The sequence below is a fragment of the Homo sapiens genome, chromosome 1 (genome assembly GCF_000001405.40).
Source record: "Homo sapiens chromosome 1, GRCh38.p14 Primary Assembly".
Classification (NCBI taxonomy): domain Eukaryota; kingdom Metazoa; phylum Chordata; class Mammalia; order Primates; family Hominidae; genus Homo; species Homo sapiens.
In genome coordinates this window covers 60,898,048-60,919,735 of record NC_000001.11, presented here as the reverse complement: position 1 = coordinate 60,919,735, position 21,688 = coordinate 60,898,048, and the positions used below count along the sequence as shown (strand labels likewise).

At 42.3% G+C, this 21,688-nt stretch overlaps 1 long non-coding RNA gene across 2 annotated transcripts in view, besides 1 other annotated feature; it reads left to right on the top strand.

Annotated features, from left to right (window-relative positions):
* The window catches only part of LOC105378764 (uncharacterized), a 30,973-nt gene that overhangs the window by 4,845 nt on the left and 4,440 nt on the right, over positions 1–21,688 (top strand). The window contains exons 2-3 of one of the 2 annotated variants that reach the window (XR_947440.3): positions 4,791–4,899; positions 5,226–7,128. This is a non-coding gene — a long non-coding RNA (uncharacterized LOC105378764). Of the gene's footprint in view, positions 1–4,790; positions 4,900–5,225; positions 7,129–21,688 lie in introns of those variants that run through there. The other variant, XR_947441.3, reaches the window with a different exon arrangement.
* Positions 15,968–16,501: an enhancer, noted in NCBI's record as "H3K4me1 hESC enhancer chr1:61368907-61369440 (GRCh37/hg19 assembly coordinates)". NCBI's record gives its function as "activates a minimal SCP1, AML or CMV promoter by ChIP-STARR-seq in naive H9 embryonic stem cells {active_cell/tissue: H9 hESC(naive)}" and the evidence as "EXISTENCE:reporter gene assay evidence [ECO:0000049][PMID:30033119]".

Below are 21,688 nucleotides of genomic sequence, written 5' to 3'. Positions count from 1 at the left end.
TTCCTATGCGCGCAACAAAAATGAGTAGGACATAGGCCATACCTTCAAAGTCAAGACACAAGTAATTATTCTATAAGGCAGAATGCTTTGAGGGTCATAAGAGGATAGGAGAAGGCACCAACATTTATTAATAATAAGCACTTACTATTGGTCAGCTACTTTCCACACATTATTTCTTTTAATCCATATGAAAACCAAATGAGGTAGGCATTTCAATACCTATTGAGAAGATGACATTCAGGGAAGGTAAATAGCTTGTCCGAAGTCACAAAGCTGGCATACGAGCACAGGTCCATTTGACTCCAAAACACACGTCCATTTTCCTCAAGTTTTAAAGTCTAAAGAGAATAAATACAACTTTTGTGGGAGAAAGGGGCTATCAGTGAAGGTTTCATAAAGGAATAATACTGGAGATGGGCATTGAGTAGGATACTGTGTTAATATTTAAACATTGGGGCTATAGTGGGATGATATTTTTAATCAGAGAGTGAGGAAACATACAAGAAAACTTTCAGATGGGTAGTAAATGACAGAAGGTACCAAACAGAATTTTGACATGCAAATTGAGTTCCTGAGCTGCAGGAGAGGGGCTTTGGGTTTAAGCCCCAGCTCCACCATTCATTAGCTTGCTTATGTGATCTTTGGCAAAAATAACCTCTCTGAGGCTCAGTTTCTGCATATGTAAAATGGGAACAGTACTATCTACAGTAATATCTGTGAAGATTAAATGAGCAAATGTTTACAGCATGCGTGGCACATGGGAGGCCCTCAGTCAGTGTTAGCCATTCTTAATATATAAAGCTATGCATTGGGGTCCAAGCCCCCATACTTGCTCAGGAGAAAGAAGTGAGCAAATTCTTATTGTCACAGTGGGTGTGGGTGATGACTCTCACAGGCAAACATTGTTTCCTCTAATGACATATCACTGGGTCATGTCTGGGAATGTAACTGTTTCCACCTTTTTACTGTACAGTTAGTAAATGCCTTTACAGGTTTCTGTTTCCTAAGAAGGCAATTTTAGAAGCATTTATTATCTTTGGTGCTTGCTAAAGGCTTTCTTCCCTCCTTTGTTGCGTTAGTGGTAGGATACAGAAATGAGCGGCCAAGAAGAGCCTGGTGTTGGGGAGCGTTAAAATGCTTTGGTCTATTGTGGCCAGTTTGGTTTGTGCCGCAGAAGACCTGTGATGTTCACGGCCCAAGAAGTCTGAGGAAATAGGTCTGCAGAACACAGAAAGATGCAGCCTCATAAAAATCCTGCTTAGAGCACCAGGATACAGGGTCTTGGGCCAGAGTCCATGCAGTGAAAGATGGTCAGGCACTGTGCGTGCTGCAGAAAGGGAACGTAATACCTCAAAGGCCCATCTATTAACCCCAAGGCCAAAATTTACAGGAGAAAAATTTTTTACACTTCAGTAACCAGATCACGTCCCTCTCAAAACCCTCCAGCCACTTTGGTTCATACCGTGGCTGAAGTACAAGACTTGGCTCCTCTCTGCTCACCTGTCTGACCTCAGCTCCTACTACTCTCCCCTTTGCCCATCCTACTACAGCCACTTTAGTCTCCCTGCTTTCCTAGAAAGTTCCAGGCCTGCTTTCAACTTAGGGCCTTTCCTTCCATCTGGATGCTCTTTCCTGACCACACTGTTTAGTAGCATGCCCTCGTGTCCTGGTACTCCTGTCTCTCTTACTGTGTCATTTTTCCCATAGCACTCTTACCTTCTAACATTGTGATGGGTGGAACTGTGTCCCTTCCCAAATTCCTGTGTTGAATTCCTAACTCCCGGGTCCTCAGAATGTGACCTAATTTGGAAATAGGGTCTTTACAGAGGTAATCAAGTTAAAATGAAATCATTAGGGTGGGCCCCAATCCAATCTGACTGGTGTCCTTATAAAAAGGGGAAATGTGGACACAAATCCACATAGAGGGAAGGCAGCGTGAAGAGACACAGGGAAAAGACAGCCATCTGCAAGCCAAGGAGAGAGCCCTGGGGCAGATCCTTCCCTCACAGCCCTGAGAAGGAACCAACCCTGCTCACACCTTGATTTCAGACTTTTAGCTTTCGGGTGAGACAAAATATTTCTGTTGTCTAAGCCACGCAATTTACGGTACAATTTAATGGCAGCCCCAGCCAACGGATTCCCAGTCCCTGTAATTGACTTTCTCAAAATTAAATTTATTCTCTGCCTCCCTCAGGAGAGCATAAGCTGCTCTAGACAGAGATTGTTTTTCTGTGCTGTTCACTACTGTAACCCCAGTACAACAATGATGCCGGGCATATCATTTCTGTTCAATAGATATTTTTAAAGTGAATTTATCAGAAGACAGAGAATTCATAAGTCTATTAGCAAAGTGCCCCTCTCAAGAACAAGACCAGGGGGAATAGGTCTCTGCCACTGTTTGCTAGGTTTGTCTACATAAGAGTGAGGAGCCTCAGATGGTGGATGCTGTCTTCGCTTTGAGCAGGTTTGGGAAACTTGAGCCATTCTTTAGAAGACTTTTAAGGATGAGGAGGGTGCAGCCCTCCTCCGTGTTCAGAGAGAGTAGCTCCAGATGGAGCATTTAGCACAGGGCTCCAGATCCAGTTACACTCGACCGCGCTGCCACAAGCACTAATAAGGCCCGACGGCCTAATAGGCTGTCCTGTGGTGAGGCTTTGTTGGGAAGAGGTTACCAATAATAAGATTATTCTCTCGACGGTTAGCTTGGCAGGGGTGGGTAGTGTTAGAAGTAGACTTGGGTCAAGGTGTGCTAGGCATGTGGAAATTCTGGGCTCCCAAGCCTGTTTCTAAAGCAGCACCACCTTCCCTTTTTGCTGGCTGCAGCATCAGACAGTTTTTCAGAGACACATAGAATCTTCTTTCTTTTCTTTGGCTCTTCTCTCATACTAGCCCAAATGAGGAGCTGAAGGTTATTATTGTCATGGTATAACATGACATACAATTATCATGGTATAATAGCTTTTACTGAGCACCTACCATGTGCCAGGAGGCTATTCTAGATCCATAAAGTGTGGGGAGAGACAGGGGTTAGGCACATACATTAGAGAGGTGTCATGGGGATGGAGTGAAGTGCAGTGAAATGAAATGACGAGGAATGAAAGTGCCCAGCATCTCCTGTGTCTTAGCGTGAGTGTTGAGGAATATGTTGCCTTTCTTTTTTCTCTTTCTTTGGCTTTCAATGTGGGTAACAGCTTGGGGCAGAAGGCAGGGCATGTAAAAAAAAAAAAAAAAGGCAAAGCAGTGTTCTCTCCTTATCTTTTCACTCTTAGTGCCAAACTGTGGTGTTTGTAAAGAGGCCAAGAGATTATGGTCTGAGTGTTTATGTCCCTCCCAAAATTCATATGTGGAAACCTAATCACCAGTGTGATGGTGTTAGGGGGTGGGGTCATTGGGAGGTGATTGGGTCCTGAGGGCAGAGTATGAATGGGATTAGTGTCCTTATAAAAGAGATCCCAGAGAGCTGCTTCACCCCTCCTGCCATGTGAAGACACAGCAAGGAGGTGCCATTTGTGAAGCAGAAAGTGGGCTCAAATCTGCTGGTGCCTTGACCTTGGACTTTGCAGCCTCCAGAACTATGAAAAATAAATTCCTGTTGTTTATAAGCCAAAAAAAAAAAAAAAAAAAAAGAAAAGAAAAGAAAAAAAAAGAAAGAAAAGAAAAAAAAGGCAAGCTGGTCTTATGGTGGGAAAGGCAATTTTGTGTTATAGGGTTTCAGAGTGGGGACACCACGAGGGCTGGAATGGTCAAGGGGACAGGAGTAGGTGCTGGAGGATGAGAGGAATTCTGGTAAGGGGAGGTGGATGAAGGCATTTCCGCTGAGACTGAAGCTTGCATATGTTGTAGAGAGCTGTGGGTTTGGGAGGCCCCAGAGGCAAAGCTTGGGTCCTGGTAGGTTGGGGGCCAGGCTCTGTGCTATGGGCTTTGTGTATCATAGTTCTTTTAAAAGTTACTTGCCTCTATAAGGTAAGTTCAGTTACTATCTCCACTTTATAGCTGAAAATATGATGGCCCAGAGAGGGAAATAACTCAACCCAGTTCACACAGGTGGTAGGAGGCAGAGCAGGGTTTAGTTTTGGCCTGTTTGATTCTAAAGCTTATACCTTCACCCGTGAACTTGATAAGTGCAATCAGGAGCTAGTGAGCTGTAAAACAGTTCCTTGTAAAACAGTTTCCTTGGCTCGAAGCCGCCTTACTCCAGTCTCTGCCTCTGTCGTCACAAGGTGGTCTCTCTGCGTGTCTGCCTTCACGTGGTGTTTTCTTCTTATAAGGACACCAGTCATATTGGATTAAGGCCAGCCCTAAGAACATCATCTTGTAACTCGATTACATGAAACTGTTTCTTCCGTTCTTTCTCACTGTCAGTTGCTACCTCCTTTATTCCCACTATTCACTCAGGTTGTGGGTACAATTCCTTTATCTGGCAATGTAATTCCTTCTGGGGAGTGTAAAGCACTTTTCTAGGTGTTATTTTACTCCCCCTCACCGTCTCTGTGATGGATAATTGCACCTCCACTGAGGCTAAATGAATGCCTGTGAGTATGTATGGGGTTCCTAGGGCTGCTGTAACAAGTACTGCAAACTGGGTGGCTTAAAGCAACAGAAATTTATCGTCTCACAGCTCTGGAGGCTAGAAGTCCAAAATCAAGGTATTGGCAAGGTCATGCTCCCTCTGAAACCTGTAGGGGAGAATCCTTCCTTGACTCTTGCCAGCTCTGGTGCTTTCCTGGCAATGCTTGGCTTTCCTTGGCTCGCAGTTGCATTACTCCAATCTCTGCCTCTGTCTTCCCCAGGTGGTCTCTCTGCGTGTCTCTGTCTTCATGTGGTGCTTTCTTCTTCTTACAAGGACATCAGCCATGCTGGATTAGTTCCCACTACTACTCTCTGGGACCCCCAAATCAGGTAAACATTTGAGTTTGTAAACTTCCAGCACTTTTTAGTAGTGGTTCCTTGCATTCCTCTAAATTCTCTACACTCTGTCTTACCTCCTCGCTTTCATTAATTTAACTAAAAATTGGGATTATCCTCTTTCTTCCTTGGTGCTGGAGTGTCTTGTTCTTTAAGGCCTTTCACCTCTGCAAATTGTCCTCTTCAACCCCAGCCTGCACTGGCTACTTGTTTCTCTAAACCCTGTAACAATTAGGGTCATCTTGTAGGTGGGTTGACTGTTTTACAGTTCACCAGTTTCTGATTGCCACTTTAAAACATTTGCCTTATTTTTGACAAAGGTGCCAAGAACATACACTGGGGAAAAGGCAGTCTCTTCAATAAATGGTGCCGGGAAAACTTGATATCCATATTCAGGAGAATGAAACTAGACCCCAATTTCTTCTCATATACAAAAATCAAATCAAAATGGATTAAAGATTTAGGCTGGGTGCAGTGGCTTACTCCTGTAATCCGAACACTTTGGGAGGATGAAGAGGGAGAATCACTTGAGTCCCGGAGCTCAGGACCAGCCTGGGCAACATAATGAGACCTTGTCTCTACAAAAAGTAAACAAAATTAGCTGGGCATGATGGTCACATGCCTGTAGTCCCAGCTACTCAGAAGGTTGAGATGGGAGGATTGCTTGAGGCCAGGAGATCAAGGCTGCAGTGAGCTGAGATCAAGCCACTGCACTCCACCCTGGACAACAGAGTGAGACCTTATCCCCCCCTCCACCCCATCCCACAAAAAAAAGGATTACAGAATTAAATCTAAGACCTCAGACTATGAAACTACTACAAGAAAACATTGGGGAAAATCTCCAGGACGTTGGTCTGGGCAAAAATTTTTTGAGCAATACCCCCAAGCACAGGCAACCAAAGGAAAAATGAACAAATGGGATGACGTCATGTTAAAAAACTTCTGCACAGCAAAGGAAATAATCAACAATGTGAAGAGACAACCCACAGAATGGGAGAAAATATTTGCAAACTACTCATCTGACAAGGGATTAGTAACCAGAATATATAAGGAGTTCAAACAACTCTATAGGAAAAAATCTAATAATCTGATAGAAAAACAGGCAAAATATTCAAATAGACATTTCTCAAAAGAAGACATCCAAAGAGTAAATAGGCATATGAAAAAGTGCCCAACATCACTGATCATCAGAGAAATGCAAATCAAAACTACAATGAGATATCTTACCCCAGTTAAAATGGCTTATACCCAAAAGACAGGCAATAACAAATTCTAGCAAGGATGTGGAGAAAAAGGAACCCTCATACACTGTTGATGGGAATGAAAATCAGTACATGTACTATGGAGAACAGTTTGAAGGTTCCTCAAAAAACTAAAAATAGAGCCTACTTTACCATCTGGCAATCCCATTGCTGGGTATATAGTCGAAAGAAAGGAAATCAGTATATTAAGGAGATAGCTACACTCCTATATTTGTTGTAGCACTGTGTACAATAGCCAAGACTTGGAAGCAACCTAAGTGTCCATCAACAGATAAACGGTTAAAGAATGTGTTACATATGCACAATGGAGTACTATTCAGCCATGAAAACGAATGAGATCCTGTCATTTGCCACCACCTGGATGGAACTGGAGATGATTATGTTACATGAAATATGCCAGGCACAGAAAGACAAACATTGCCTGTTCTCACTTCTTTGTGGGATTGAAAAATCAAAACAATTGAACTCATGGACATAGAGAGTAGAAGGATGGTTATCAGAGGCTGGGAAGAATAGTGGGGGTGAGTGGGGAAAAGGTGGGGATGGTTAATGGGTACAAAAAAATAGTTAGAAATGATGAATAAGACCTACTATTTGATAGCACACCAGGGTGACTATAGTCAATAATAACTTAATTGTACATTTAAAAATAATGACAAGAGTATAATTGGATCATTTGTAACACAAAGGATAAATACTTGAGATGGAAATCCCATTCTCCACAATGTGATTATTATGTATTGCATGCCTGTATCAAAACATCTCATGTATCCCATAAATATATACATCTATTATATACCCACAAAAATTAAAAATTAAAAAGAAAGAACATTTGCCTAACCAGGTATGAGCTCCTGATTCTCAGAGATAGAGACTAATCATGTCTTTGTTTGCTGCTTTAGGGTTTAGCATAGGCTTAGCACGTTGTAACTCTCATTAAAGCTTTGCTGGATGAATGATATTTGTTTGCTTCTGATTCTAACTGCATGGCAGAGTCCTCTGGAATAATGTGACCACCCAGCCTATGACGTGGAGAGCTGAGCAGTGAGCTAGTAAGGCTAATGCTTGCAGGAAGCCAAACTGTGCATTCAAGCCCTGCACTCAGTATACTTAACTTTTTTCGTAAATTTGATTCATCTGGTTAATTACCTTAACTTTCCACCAGACTTAGCCTGTACCAACACAGCCAAAATTGCAAGAGGTTTGGCCAATCTAAGGACTAGTGGGTCGGAAGCTAAACTGATCAGAGAACAGAGCAGGCCCAAGAGGATAATCTAAGGGTTGCTTTGTTCCAGGTGTCCTCAGAGAGGCTCCGCCCCAGGGGATCACATTGCACCTCCACTCCTGGGGAGCAGAACGCTTCTCTTCCCTCTCCAAAAGCTGGCAGGGGCCCTGAATACTGTCATTCTGTCCTCGCCAGCTGTTTCCCTTGCTGACAGCACATCCTTTGTGAGGCCCTGGCGTTTCCTCCTCCTTCCTAAGCACTTCCCCTGAGACTTTCCACGGATGGCAGTGGGGCAGCAATGAGCAGAGCAGATGCTCAGCCCTTCTCTTTGTTAGTGGAGGTGACTGTCCCAGTGTTTATGACACCCATGGAAGTTGGCAAGAATATGAAATTTGGAATGTAAGAATTTTAGGCTGGATGATGTCTTTGGGATAGTTTTACCCAAATGAACCTTGTTTTGCCAGAGGCAAACTTGGAAGTCAAACAATAAAGCTACCAGCTAAAGAGGCACTTTATGAGGATAAGATGGTAAATCTGAGATTAGGACACAGATCTTCCACCATTTAGACCAGCATTGTCTGCTCTTCTAGGTCATTTTGGGAGTCAGCAAGACAGGAGCAGGCAGGGATTCTGCCCCATAAAGGAAGTATGGGGAAAGGCTTCCCCCTGCATGTAGGATTAAATCCATGTGAGCTGGTCTCTGCTCACCTGTCCAGTCTCATTTTGCACCTCTCTTCCCCTTGTTAACAAAACTCTAGCCATCTTGACGTTCATTTCCAAGCTCCTTCAAACTTCTGAGCTCTCACACATCCTGTTCCCACAATCTGAAGTACTCTTTTGCCCACATTTCACCTGGATAATGCCAACTCATCCTCTAAGCCTTAGCTTAAATATCACTTCCTTAGAGCAGCCTTCCTTGAGCACTGTCATCTAAATAACACACACCATTCATCACATTCACAGGACTATGCATTTTCCTTCACAGAATTGTCTATTTATTTGAAGTCTGCTGCTATGCTAGCTCACTTTGACTGCAAGGCTCCTGACAGCAGGGATTACTGTGTAATCTGGGCCAGGCACATAGTAGGCCCTCAATACATACTTGCTAAATAAATGAATGAATGAATGAAACAAGAGACTGACTTTTTGGATAAGGTAGGACCAACCTATTCATCTATTGTAGTTTTGTTATTGCTGCCATATTATAGAGAACTCATTATTCGAGCAGGTCTGGGATACAGGTATTATAATACCTGAGTTTTCATACACATCAGTTGAGGGTCAGAGAGGAGGAGTACTTGCCCAAAGTCATCCAGATTATAAGTGACTCTATTAGTCCGTTCTCATGCTGCTAATAAAGACATACCCTAGACTGGGTGATTTATAAAGGAAAGAGGTTTAATTGACTCACAGTTCCACATGGCTGGGGAGGCCTCACAATCATGGTGGAAAGTAAGGAGGAGCAAAGTCATGTCTTACATGGCAGAAGGCGAAGGGGTAGGTACAGGGCAACTCCCCTTTATAAGACCATCAAATCTCATAAGACTTATTCACTATCACAAGAAAAGCATGGAAAAGACCTGCCCTTATGATTCAGCTACATCCTACTGGGTCCCTCTGATGACACGTGGGAATTGTGGGAGCTATAATTCAAGATGAAATTTGGGTGGTGACACAGCCAAACAATATTAGTAAAAGCCTGGGCTGGAATGCAGGTCTGCCTGGCTCCAAAACTGAAATTTTAAAACTATTTTATGATGCCTCCATTGTATGTCAGGTACCTTTTCGGTGTGTCAGAGTATCATGATGTGCCCTTTGTGCATCAGATATTTCAGGGTCTGGTTTCCCCAAGATTGTACACCTAATTAGGGGAAGAGCCAAGTTTCAACAAAACCTTGCTGTCTCTCAAATTAGAGTATTGTATGCTGGCTCCATCCTCAGGGCACACCTTGGGTATACACTCTTTGTGGTCTAAGGTTCTCCAGGGCACACACTAGCAGAGCCCTGGGTAGCATGGGTTAAAAAAGAAGCCATTACCACATCCATTCACCATGAATCCTGTTTTTTTTGTTTTTTTTTTTTTTTTACCCTGAGTAACTGAGAACAAAGCTCACTTCACCAAAATGTTCTGATGCCAGGGGTCCCAATGAAACTCCTGTTTTCAACCACTTGCACATAGTTAAGTGGAGACAGTTAAAACCCTAATTACTGAGCTGGTGGGTCCCACTGACACCTGTAAGACATTTGGTACAGTGCAGGAAGTAATGCTTCCTTTCCAGTTTACATCACTATTTAATCTAATTATTCCTTCCAGTTTGGCTTTCACATATTCCATCAAAGAAGAGATTGCTCATTTCCTTGCGAAACTGTATACGTCCACCGTAATGCTATTTTTCACCTCTCGTAAGTAATCTGAGATTTCCTAACCTTCTCCCCCTACTGTATTCTCTGGCTAATGTATAAACCTGGAAGAAGTTTCTTGACAGAGAAGTCAAGAGGGACTCACTTGTGGGAGAAGCATTTCCATTTCAGAGAATTGGAGAGCTCAAAGGGGCCTTTTACTTCATCTGCATCAAAAGTCCATCCTTTTCTAATTGAGGACACTGAGGCCTAGACAGCAAACTCTTCCTGAGCTCCTGCCATGTGCAGGCTCTAGGAAAAAGGAGTGGATGAGGCCAAACAAAGCCCCTGCCCTCAAGGAGCTTGTGTCCGGAGAAGCAGAGAGAAATGAATGTAATTGAAAATAATCAATGAATTCCAAATGCTCAAATCAACGTGTAAAAGAAGTATAGGTTTTTAATGAGAGGTTCCCTGAGTAAGTCATGCTTAAAATAAATCATAAAAAATGAAAAAAGATTGCACCAGGTGAAGAGTGAAGAAAGAACACTGCAGGTGGAGGGAACAGGCATGCAACTGGGGTGACGGAGAGATGTCTGGAACAGTGGGAGTGGGCAGAGTAAGAGAGAACACAGTCAAAGAAGCAGCCGAAGTGGTGGGCAGGGGCCAGTCTGTGAAGCTTTGGAACACCTGTTAAGTTCTCTCCTTGAGGTCAGGAATGGATACTCCATTTTCCCCAGTAAATCTCTCTCCACCCTTTTGCACTCTGTGCCCTAGGAGACTGACCTCTGGGGGTCACCTTGAGACAACTCGGTTGCCCTCTGCTTTCTGTTTGGGTTTGGCCACTAAGAGACACCAGGGAGATTGGAGAGCTGGAGGAGTGACCTCAGTGTATTCATTCCCTGGGCTGTTCCCCTGCTGGGTTGCGGGTTGGCGAGACACTGAGCTAGGGAAGGCCCCGGCTTCTGTTAGTTGATCATCTCCTATGGGCTTCCCTTTGCTTGTTCCCTTAGGCTTAAGGGTGGTGATAACTCTCTGCCTGGCCAGTGTGTGGTCATGTCACCTCTCTTGTTGGTGTCACTGTACCCTGCCCACTCCACCTGTAACCAGTCCTTCGTGAAACTCCCTTCAGTTGCTCTGAGTCTTCCATCTTTCTCCTGCAGGGTCCTTTACAAAAGGGCTCTGGCATCAAAGGGCAGCTGGCGGTGGAGACGGCCCTCAGAGCAAGGACATCAGTGATGTGGATCAGCGGCTGCAGCTGAGGAGAGCGGACTCAGTCCCAGTCCGCTGAAGGAGGGACATGAAGTCAAGGGAGAGGCAGCTGGCAGACCTAGCAGGGGACCCTCTAAAGTCCCATGAAAGTACACATGACCAAAAAAGGGCAGCTCTCAACTCCTGCCAGGCCCAGAGATCTCAAAGCCATCTAATGAAAATGCCTATTAAGTAAGAACTTTCCTACATCCCTTTCTAGCCCCTATCCCTGACCCTGTGCCCCAACCATGAAGGGGCCAGACATCAGGATAAGCAAGCTGGAGGAAGAGACGGAAAGGAGAGGGAGATTGTGAGAGGCAGAGCAAGTGAGCTCTAGGCACTCCCAATGCGTGAAGGCATGTCTTCTGCCCACAGCAGCCAGCTCAGGAGATAGGAAACATCCACGGATAGATTCTAATCTCTATGTTGAGTCACTGGCTAAGAGATGTCAGAAAAGTCATAAGATTGCCAAAATTTTCATCCAGGTGCAAGGGAATGACTACTACTCCCACCAAACAGATTTGGAGAAATCAGGAGAAACAAAACGCCCACACTTGCCTTCAGGATTACCCTTCATGAGACCCTTTCTTCTTGTTCAATTGACCAGTGATTTTAGGGAATGCTGCAAACTAAAATTGTGTTGTGTTTACAAGTTGCCTATTTCACTGTTGAACTTATTTGACCATGCAACACTTTTTGGGCTAAAACCCCAGTGTAATTCTTTTCTTGCCATGTACTTTGTAAAATGTTGCTTTTGATACCAAATGCACAAGTAAACAAATAAATAAAACAAATAAACATTTTCTTCCTAGGGAGGACATTATAATAATGGCTGGTTAGGGCTGGTATGATCTAGTAGGCAATGGAACTATTGTTTTCGGTATTAATCTGCCCCAAAGCACAGTTTTAATCAAACAATATAGTTGTATAATAAATAAAATGTCCATGCTCAAGACCAGGAAGTTATAAAAAATCATCAGAGAATACTTTGCGTATGTCACATGTTATATAAATGGTAACTCATGCTAATAACGTGAACACTTTGTATTCCTTTAATGATCTCTGGGACCCCACAGCTCATACAGAGTCAGGGGAGGGGCCTATTGGGCATTAAAGAGAGAGTGTTAATAGAATCATGAGTATTTGTTTATCATCTGTTGGCCATCAAAATGAAATGTGGTGGACTTTTCCTGTATAAAGTGATGCTATAATTTTATAACAAATTTAAAAGACTTGCTAGAATTACAGAAATAAAATAATAAATGAAAGCTAGTGGCCAGGCGCTGTGGCTTACGCCTGTAATCCCAGTACTTTGGGAGGCTGAGGTGGGCAGATCACTTGAGGTCAGGAGTTCGAGACCAGGCTGGACAACATGGTGAAACCCCGTCTCTACTAAAAAATACAAAAATCAGCAGGGAGTGGTGGCGCATGCGTGTAGTCCCAGCCACTTGGGAGGCTGAGGTATGAGAATTGCTTGAACTCGGGAGGGGGAAGATGTAGTGAGCCAAGATCATGCCACTGCACTCCAGCCTGGGTGACAAAGCAAGACACCATCTCAAAAATAAATAAATAAATAAAAGCTAGGAAGAGAAAAACAACAGATGGAAACTTGCCCTAGAGAGGCTTTGGAATTCACCTTTGTCCCAGTGAGAGAGAATAGACCCAGTAGGCAGTCTTAAAGCCACGGTGTATCTCAGGCACCCATCCTTTACATTTTCCCCACGAGGAAACAAATATTGAGGCTTGTGGGTGCTAGTGTAACAACTGTCACTTGGAAGGTGTTCACAATATATGTGCTGAATGAATGACTCTGCCAACTCTGTTGTTTCCTAGGTGAGAAGGACACAGGTCCTACTGTGTCACTGTCTCCTTTCCTCTCTCCTTTGCTGCCAGTTTTTTTTTTTTTTTCTAGATTGTGTCTAATGTCACTAAATGTCTAAATGTCACAATATCACTACTAGGTAAGAACTGTGATTCTTATTTAATGGATGAGAAGACTGAAGCCCAGCAAGATCACACAGCTGGTGAATGATAGATAAGGTCTTATTGCCCCAATGTGAAAGTAAAACTCAGTAAAATGTGCCTCTTCTTGGACCTATTGGACTGTTGCACTGTTGCACACTAAGCCTATTAGACAATAATAATAAAGCACAGAGGAGACCCTCGGTATCTTTCTAAAAAGCTTTAAGTGTGAGAGTTTGGGGCCCTGTAGCTCTGAACATTTTATGAAACCAAGTATAATAATACTCGATAGGCATTTCCATGGGTATGAATTTATGAGACATTAGAAAGGAGGCCTAAGAATTTTGAGAACAGAGTTAAGAGGATGATGCACATTCTGATTTTTGACAGCATCTTGAAATAGGTGCAGTTTGTGTTTGGTGCCCTCTCGCCTCCATTTAGTGCCTTCAGAACCTAAAGGGCTGGGTATTTAAAGGTGGAATTCCAGGCACTACAGTAGGCAATGGAACTATTGTTTTGGGTGTTAAATCATAAAGGAGGCTCCTTCTTTCTCCTTGTGAGCATCTCCTTTAGCATTCCTGTGAAGTTGCCACATCTTCCTGCTCAGTAGAAAGCCTTGATTCCTATGGCTAGTCTTACTTTACAAAAGGAAATCCTGAGGCGTGGAGAGCCAAACCAAGTCAAGGAAGGGGCAGACTGCATTCTCCTTTGACCTCCAGACTTGTTAGTTCCTTGACTTTTGGATAATTTTGTTCCTTCACCCGAGTACACTAGGAATAGCTCATTAAACTACCCTTATTTAAACAGATCACGATTACAGTCTCTGCTACCTCCATTAGCACTCTGAGCTCATCTCTCACTGTTCTTCCCCACTCACTCTGTTTTCAGCACATCAGCCTCCCTGATGTTCCTTGAGTAGATCAGGTGTGCTTCACCTTTGCAATTTGCTTTTGCATTTGACCTTTGCACTTTGCCTTTGCACTTCACCTTGGCACTTGCTGTTCTTTTTCTTCCTCTGGGTACCCTCATGGCTCCTCACTTACCTCCCTCAGCATCTTATTCAAATGCCAACTTTTCAGACTCAAACTCATCTGACCACCCCATTCAAAACTGAGAACCTTCCCTTACCTGGAACTCCTTATACCTTTTCTGTATTGCTGTATTTGTAGCATGCAGAACCAGAACAATGTCCAATACAGAGAAGTTACCCAATAAATATATTGAATGAATTAATACATTTAAGTAGCCTCTGCTTTAACTGGATTTCCTGCAGCCACTAAAAATTCTGAAATGCCTGTGCCCAGGTGGGGCTTCCTGTTCAAATACCTCTCATTTTTATTAAGCTCCTTCCTGGTCACCAGTCTGAGGTCAAACTTGCTGCCTAACAGGGGCAAAGAAGGAACACTGGCTTCAGTAAGCACAGTGAAAATACCAGGAATGGCTACATACTTGGAATCAATCCCATATTCTACCTTTAACACCCTTCTTAAATCCCCTTTCATTTCAAATTAAGGATGACAAATAAGAACCAACAACTCAGAGTTGCCTGGTTTTCAATGTTGAATTAAAACTTAAGTCAGCCTTCATTTTTATCAATCTTTATTTTAGGGTCAAGAAGATGGGTTCTGGGGGTGGAGCATTTGGTTTGAGATCCTTGTTCCATGCCATAGTAGCTAGGTGACCTTGGGTAAGTTACTGCCTCTCTCAGTGCTCCGGTTTCCTCATCAGTAAAGAGAATATGATTATAGCAACTTCATGGGGTTGTGGTGAGAATTAGCTGGGGAAATACGTATAATGCACTTAGAACAGTATAGAGGAAGTGTTAGAAATTTCCCTTATCATATGGCGGGAATACTGCTATCTTTCATTGACCTTAAGTGGAAGAAATGCACCCCAGTTACCTATGTCAGCTCCAGACTCCTGCTCTGTGGGTGGGGGTGAGGGTTAGTGATTCTTTGGGTCTTATATCAGTGTGGCTTAATGGGACAAGGAGTGCCCAGTGATGCTGGTTACTTAAAAACACCACCCTCTAGCCAGCCTGGCTGGGCCCTGGTGATTACTCCTGCCCACTGGCATCCTCTGGTAGCCACTGCCTGTGCCTGTTGGCTGGAGAAAAGACCACATTCGGCACTCTTGCCAAGTCATGAGTGAGAGGCAGGCTGGTGCCTTGCCCAGCCCCATGACACAGGAGCCTGTTGCCCCAACTGAGATAATTTTCTTGTCACTAGGCCTGAAATCCTCACTAGAAGTCATCTTCAAACTGGTGTTCTGAAACAGGGCCAAGTCCCCAGGCCTGAGTTTGCAGGCTGGGAGCTGGTCTTCCCTAAAATGCACCTTTCTAAGAGAAGGAAAAAACTTAATACAGCTTGCCAGGGGGAATTAAGTGTCAGTGTCTGTTTTTTTGAATGGCTATTTGCATGTAGACAGGAAGCTTCACAGTCTTTTGCAAAAGCAGCGGGGAAAAATGAAAAAAGAAATCCCTCACCTCCCCAGGGAGACATTTGAGGAATAGTCAAGCCTGAGGGAAGTTTGGATGCCAAGAAAGCCGTGTTCTGCACTAGTCAGAATGTGGACATGGTGGGCGAGATTTGGGCAGCTGCACAGCTACTGGGCAGTTTTCTATTCAAACCCACTCTGGCAGAGGGGAAATGCTCTTTCTTTCATTCTTTCATCACTTGTTTTTTCTTTTTTTTTTTTAAAGGAAAGTTAAAAAAAAATATTACAAAAGATCCAGAGACACACTGATGTCACTGAGAGGGGAGACCCAGGTCATCATCAAAAGTTGGTTTTAGGGGACCCCCCCCTCCACCCCACAAAAAAAGCTGAGCTCTAAAAGGCAGCCTAGACAATGGATCAGATGCCAAACCATGTGAAGTGCCCAAAGGCAACTCCAAAACACCCGGCCCACCAGTGGGTGGAGGCTGCCAAGGAGACAGATGCTGTAGCTTTAAAAATATCTTCCGCTGCTTGGCATCTGCAATTGCAGGCTGCTGTCTCCAAGAAGGAGCGGGCGAGGGCTGGGACAGCTGGCCAGGCCGCAGCAACCGGCGTATATGTAACGAGAGCGCCTCTAACCACGGGGCTGCCCATTTGGCCTTGTTAAATCACCCTCAGCATATGGTGAGAGACATCTGCCCAGGATCTGGACCTCACAGCCTGGAAGAGGAGGGCCCAAAACAAGCATTCTGAGGCCTGGGAGGGCTAGAGGCAGCTGGGAAGGCATTCCCAGGGCCGAGGGCCTCCTTTGACAGAGACCTGGTTCTGAGAAAGAAGGGACTGACTCAAGGTCATGCAACAGTGTGCTGTCAGTGTGCTGGGGAACAAGTCATTGAGATTCCTTCAGCCTCTGTTTACTTATCTGTGAAATGGGGTAAAGTATATACCTCATGGGCTTGATGCGAGGGTTAGATAAAATAATTTAAGCGAATGCACCTTGCTTAATACATTTCAGTTGACTATGATTCGCAGTCTTCCAATTATAAACGTTGAAAGCAGCCACTGACATGTTACGTTTTCAAGAGGCTTTGGGAAAGATCCAAAACTCTCCCCAATCCGTCTCTACCTGCTTACTGCTGGATGAAATTCACTTACCCAGGAATTGCACCCATTTTTGGCTGCTATTAAAATGCAGCCTTACTTCCGAGGGCAAAACTTTGAACTGTGAAGAGTTTGCCCTCAAGGCAGGTTTTTGAGGGCTAGCAGGGAGTCCTAAAAAAAAAAAGGCAAACTAGGATGGGAGCCAACACCTTCATTAGAAAACAGCTCTTTGCCTCTTAGAGCCATTTAACTTTCCTCTACCTTAAATCTCGACTCCAAATAGCAAAACTATGGTTTTATTTATTTACTTATTTTTTGGCTTCCAGATAACATTCTATTGGATTATTTTTATACCACTACCCTCTCATTTTAAAAAGCCACTAGTAAGTAAATTCTTAAGTAGGGCAATGACCCAGCCTCGAAGGTAGTGGGGATATATACTCCCAAAGTGGTATTAAATAAGAAGAAATTCATACAGATATCCTGGTGGACATTGGCCATGCATATCTATGGTAGCTAGAGACACACCACTTTTTTCTCTTTATATAAGAGTACTTCATAAATATCTCTGAAGACTATGACCAATCCTTGGAAGTATCCAATATCTTTCCAAGATCAAATCTGAGACTTTTCATTACAGTGACATTACTATTCTTTCCTCATATTTGTGGTTGCATTGCCAGCCTTTATTCTCACCTGTTTCCAATCCCAACAACCTCTAATTGCCTTTTAGAGCTTATGGGTTCCAGGTTCCACTCCAGGTGTGGACACATGACTGTGTTAATTCAAGCATTGTCTCCTACCCTCTGGCCACAGTTTCGGTTTGAGAATGGGTCATAGGATGGACATGGATTCAAACAGACTGACTTTGTTTTTTTATTTTTATTTTTATTTTTTTCTGGGAATGCTGAGACTGTTTCTTGTTAGATATAAACGGGGAAGAGACTAGGGAGATTCTTGCCTTAAAACTCCAAGGAAGGCAGAATGGAGAATCTGGGTGACTGAGTTGCTAGATCAAGCCATGACTGAAGGCCATGCTATATTTGGACTTTTCAGTGACAGGAACCAATATAGTCTTTTATATTTTAAGCCTGTTTGTGTATCCTGTTTTCCATATTGAGCAACTGAAAATATCCAGATATGCTCAGGGAAGCCCAAGGAAGTTGTGCTTACAGATATTTGGTCTTGGCTTAGTTTTAGATTGTCAGTTGAGACTTAAAAGTCTTTTTTGGTTTGGTACATATGTTACATGACACCATTAGAGCTTGGGGCTGAGCATGCTTGACCTCTTGTAGCATGAAAAAGATACCACCCCTAGATTAGGAATGAGGATAAATGGGGGCAAGTCCTCATTTACCACCAAAGAATACCATTTTTGTCCTCCAGTTCCCCACTTGAATTGACAAGTGGGACATATTAAATTAAGGTTTACTAAACTTCAGCCATTTATCTATTACCCTCATATTTTTTTTCTGTATTCACCTGTGCTATTAGTTGCTTTAAATTAATTCACTTCAGCATGCTTATACATTGTTGGTGGAAATGTAAATTAGTTTAGCCACTGTGGAAAGCAGCTTGGAAATTTCTCAAAGAACTTAAAACGGAGCTAACATTCCATCCGGTAATTCCATTACTGGATGTACATACAAAAGGAAATAGATCATTATACCAAAAAGGACACATGCACTTTGTATGTTCATCGCTGTGTTGTTCATAATAGCAAAGACATGGAATCAACCTAGGTGCCCATCAATGGTGGATTGGATAAAGAAAACGTGGCACATATACACCATGGAATACAATGCATTCATAAAAAAGAATGAAGTCATATTCTTTGCAGCAACATGGATGGAGCTGGGGGCCATAATCCTAAGTGAATTAATGTAGAAACAGAAACCAAAATACTGTATGTTTTCACTTATAAGTGGGAGCTAAACATGGAGCACACACGAACATAAACACGGAAACAATAGACCCTAGAGGGGAGAGGGAGGGATGGGGACAAAGGTCAAAACACTACCTATTGGGTACTGGGTTCATTATCTGAGGCAATATACCCATGTAACAAACCTGTACGTGTACCCCCTGTATCTAAAAATAAAAGTTCCAAAAAATTAACTCACCTTTCTTAATTTTATAAGTCATTTAATAGTAAAAGAAAATGTATATCATGATAGCAAATGTGAAAGTCAATATTTAATGCACATTTAAAAAATATACCATTATTAACAAAAAAGAATGTATACCACCTAAAATTACCTTGCATATGATCCATTGGGGAAGTCTAGGAGTCGGCCATTGGTTTTCAAGCTGTGTTTTTATGGAACTAAATTGTTTTGTTGTGGCAGTGTTAGATGCAAATTTCATTTCGTAACATATTTTAACTACAGTCATCCATTGCTTAACGACAGGGATACGTTCTGAGAAAGGCGTCCTTAGGCACCTTTGTTGTGCCAACATCATAGAGTGTATTTACACAAACCTAGATGGTATAGCCTACTACACACCTAGGCCATATGACATAGCCTATTGTTCCTAGGCTACAGATCTGTACGGCATATTACTCTACAGAATTCTGTAGTCAGTTGTTACACAATGGTAAGTATTCATGTATCTGAGCATATCCAAACATAGAAAAGGTACAGTAAAAATACCGTATTATAATTTTATGGGACTACTGTCATATATGTGGTATGTCATTGACCAAAATGTCATTAAAGAGCACATGATTGCATTTTGAAAGTTGAAATAAAAATCTATGTTTAGTGTTAGTGTCAGTTTTGGGTTCCTTGTGTCTGTTTTTCATATTTATGTAAAAGAATATACTTGTCTCTCTCTCTGTCTCTATATGTATACACACAGAGACTTAAGTATATTCTTTAACATAAATATAAAATATTTATTAATATTTATAATAAATATTTTCTTACAAATAATATTTATATTGGAGACCGACAACGTAATTATTTGAGCTGCTAGGCAACTAATTTTTATATGCACTCAGAAGAAAACATCAACAATCTCTGTGGAAATATTTTAAAAATAATTTTCATCAAATTTTTATTACAGAAAAATACTAATACCACAAATGACCAATAATTCCACTGCCCACGGAATCCCTTGGGTGTTTAAAAAATAATAATGCTTATCTGCATGTACATTCTAATTTCTTATAAGTATGTCGTTGATTAGGAAGATTGTAGCTCTGCAATGGTCTTTCTGGAATTCAGACTTTTAATCTAAAATTGCACAAGTGAGTCACAGGTACTCCAAATAAGTGGCAGGCAAATATCTCATTTACTTGGCCAGTCCTGTTGTCAAGCTGTAACAATCTAATTCAGTTGTGTGTGAACTTGTGACATGCTGATCCCCGTGAATCACATGTTATAGACAAATTTAATGTTGGTGCAAGTTTTGGGCTCCTTGTGTCTGATTGTCATATATATGTCAAAGAATATCGAGGACTATCATCGGTATTGTTACTGGTTCAACTTTGAAACAGAAGTGTCTCACTATCTTGCCTTCAAGCTTCTGGCTCAGATTAAATGAAGAGTATCTTGAGATTGTGAGTCAAGCTGTTAACAAAAAACAAACAAACAAGAAGCCCACAGATGTTACCACTTTCACTACTTATCAGTGCCATCAGAATTTCCGTGAGGCCAGGCATTCAAATCAAAATGCCAAAATAAAGACAATAACTGAGGCTGATGTGTTTGCAAATATCATCCATAATTCCAATATCAAATGTTAGCATTCATCAGAATAACTTCATTGCTCTTTGTGGCTGAACTTGAAGAAGTAAATATTATTAATTTTAAATTATGAAATAACATTTTATTAATAAAGTAGCAATACACACACACACACACACACACACACACACACATTCACCTGCAATATCTGAAAACCAGTGGACCGACCGTATGATTTTTAAGGTATTCTTCCACCTCTAAAAATAAAGTCAACCTCTTAGGCTGACTCAACTTCAAAGTTGTGGTTGTGAAAAATAATAGGAAAATGACAGGTAACATTCATACAGTGCTTTGCAGATTCATAAAGTGCTTTGAAGAGTATGACTTTCAATCCCTAACTCTAACCTCAATTTTTCGGTGCTGCTTTCTCTCATTGCCCCAGGCCACGTTAAGCACATCACTGTCTAGGCCCCCAGGGTTCCTGCTTCATAATTTTGTACTGCCCTACCACAGCACTTTAGAATTATTTCTTTATCTGCTTGCCTCTGCCCCTGGATTGTAATCTCCTCAAAGGAACAGAGCATATCTTGTTCATCTTTGTATTTTCAGTGCCTAGTGTAGTGCAGAGCATTTACTTAATGAGTGTTTGGCTGCTTAAGTCAATGAATGGTTTCTTGGGAGTGAACAGAAAAACTGAGCACTGAGTGATTACGTTTTTTTTTTTTTTTTTCCATCAGCTCAGCACATGTCTTCCTCATCAGGAATATTTATTAAGTAACAGCATATGTTGTCCTCATCAAGGAATATTTATTAAGCAACAAATTTGCACATAAAATTTGGCAAGGTACCATTGTCCCGGACGCCCATTCTCTCCCCTCAGTCCTGACACTGTCCAAGTTCATGTCCTCATTAACTTGGGTCTGTTGCAAGAGCCCTGAACTCTTATCAGCACACACCTGACTCATTCCTATCTACGAGCCTCTGCTCATATGTTTCTCTCCACCTGGAACACCTCTCCTCATCATTTCTGCACATTCGTTATCACTCATACTTCAAACCCTTTCTGATAGTCTCTTCTGGGCCAGTCCTAGCTGGAGTAGAGAAACACCATCTCCTGAAATGCTCTAATGCATCCTGTTACCCTTCCACTGTCCTTATTCTTCTTAAGGGGAGAGTTTATGTTGAATCATTTGTGTGTCTAGCAGAGCATCAAAAAGCATATAGTACATGCTAAAAAATTGGTGAAAGAATACTTTTTATGGTCCCTATGGCTGAAACAAGCTAGCCACTGTCAGTATCAGAATAGAATCCTGGAATTTTGAATCAGGTTCATCTGTCCAACTAAGAACACAAAAAGAAATGATTCCTGTTCTTCATTGGTTCACACGTATCACAGCTGTGTATTCCCAGGACAGTTACTTAGTGTGTCCAGTTCCCCAGCTTTTCTTTTGCTAATCATGATTGGTAGCATATATCTGAAGAACAAAATAGGTAATAGATGCAGATGTATCATTATA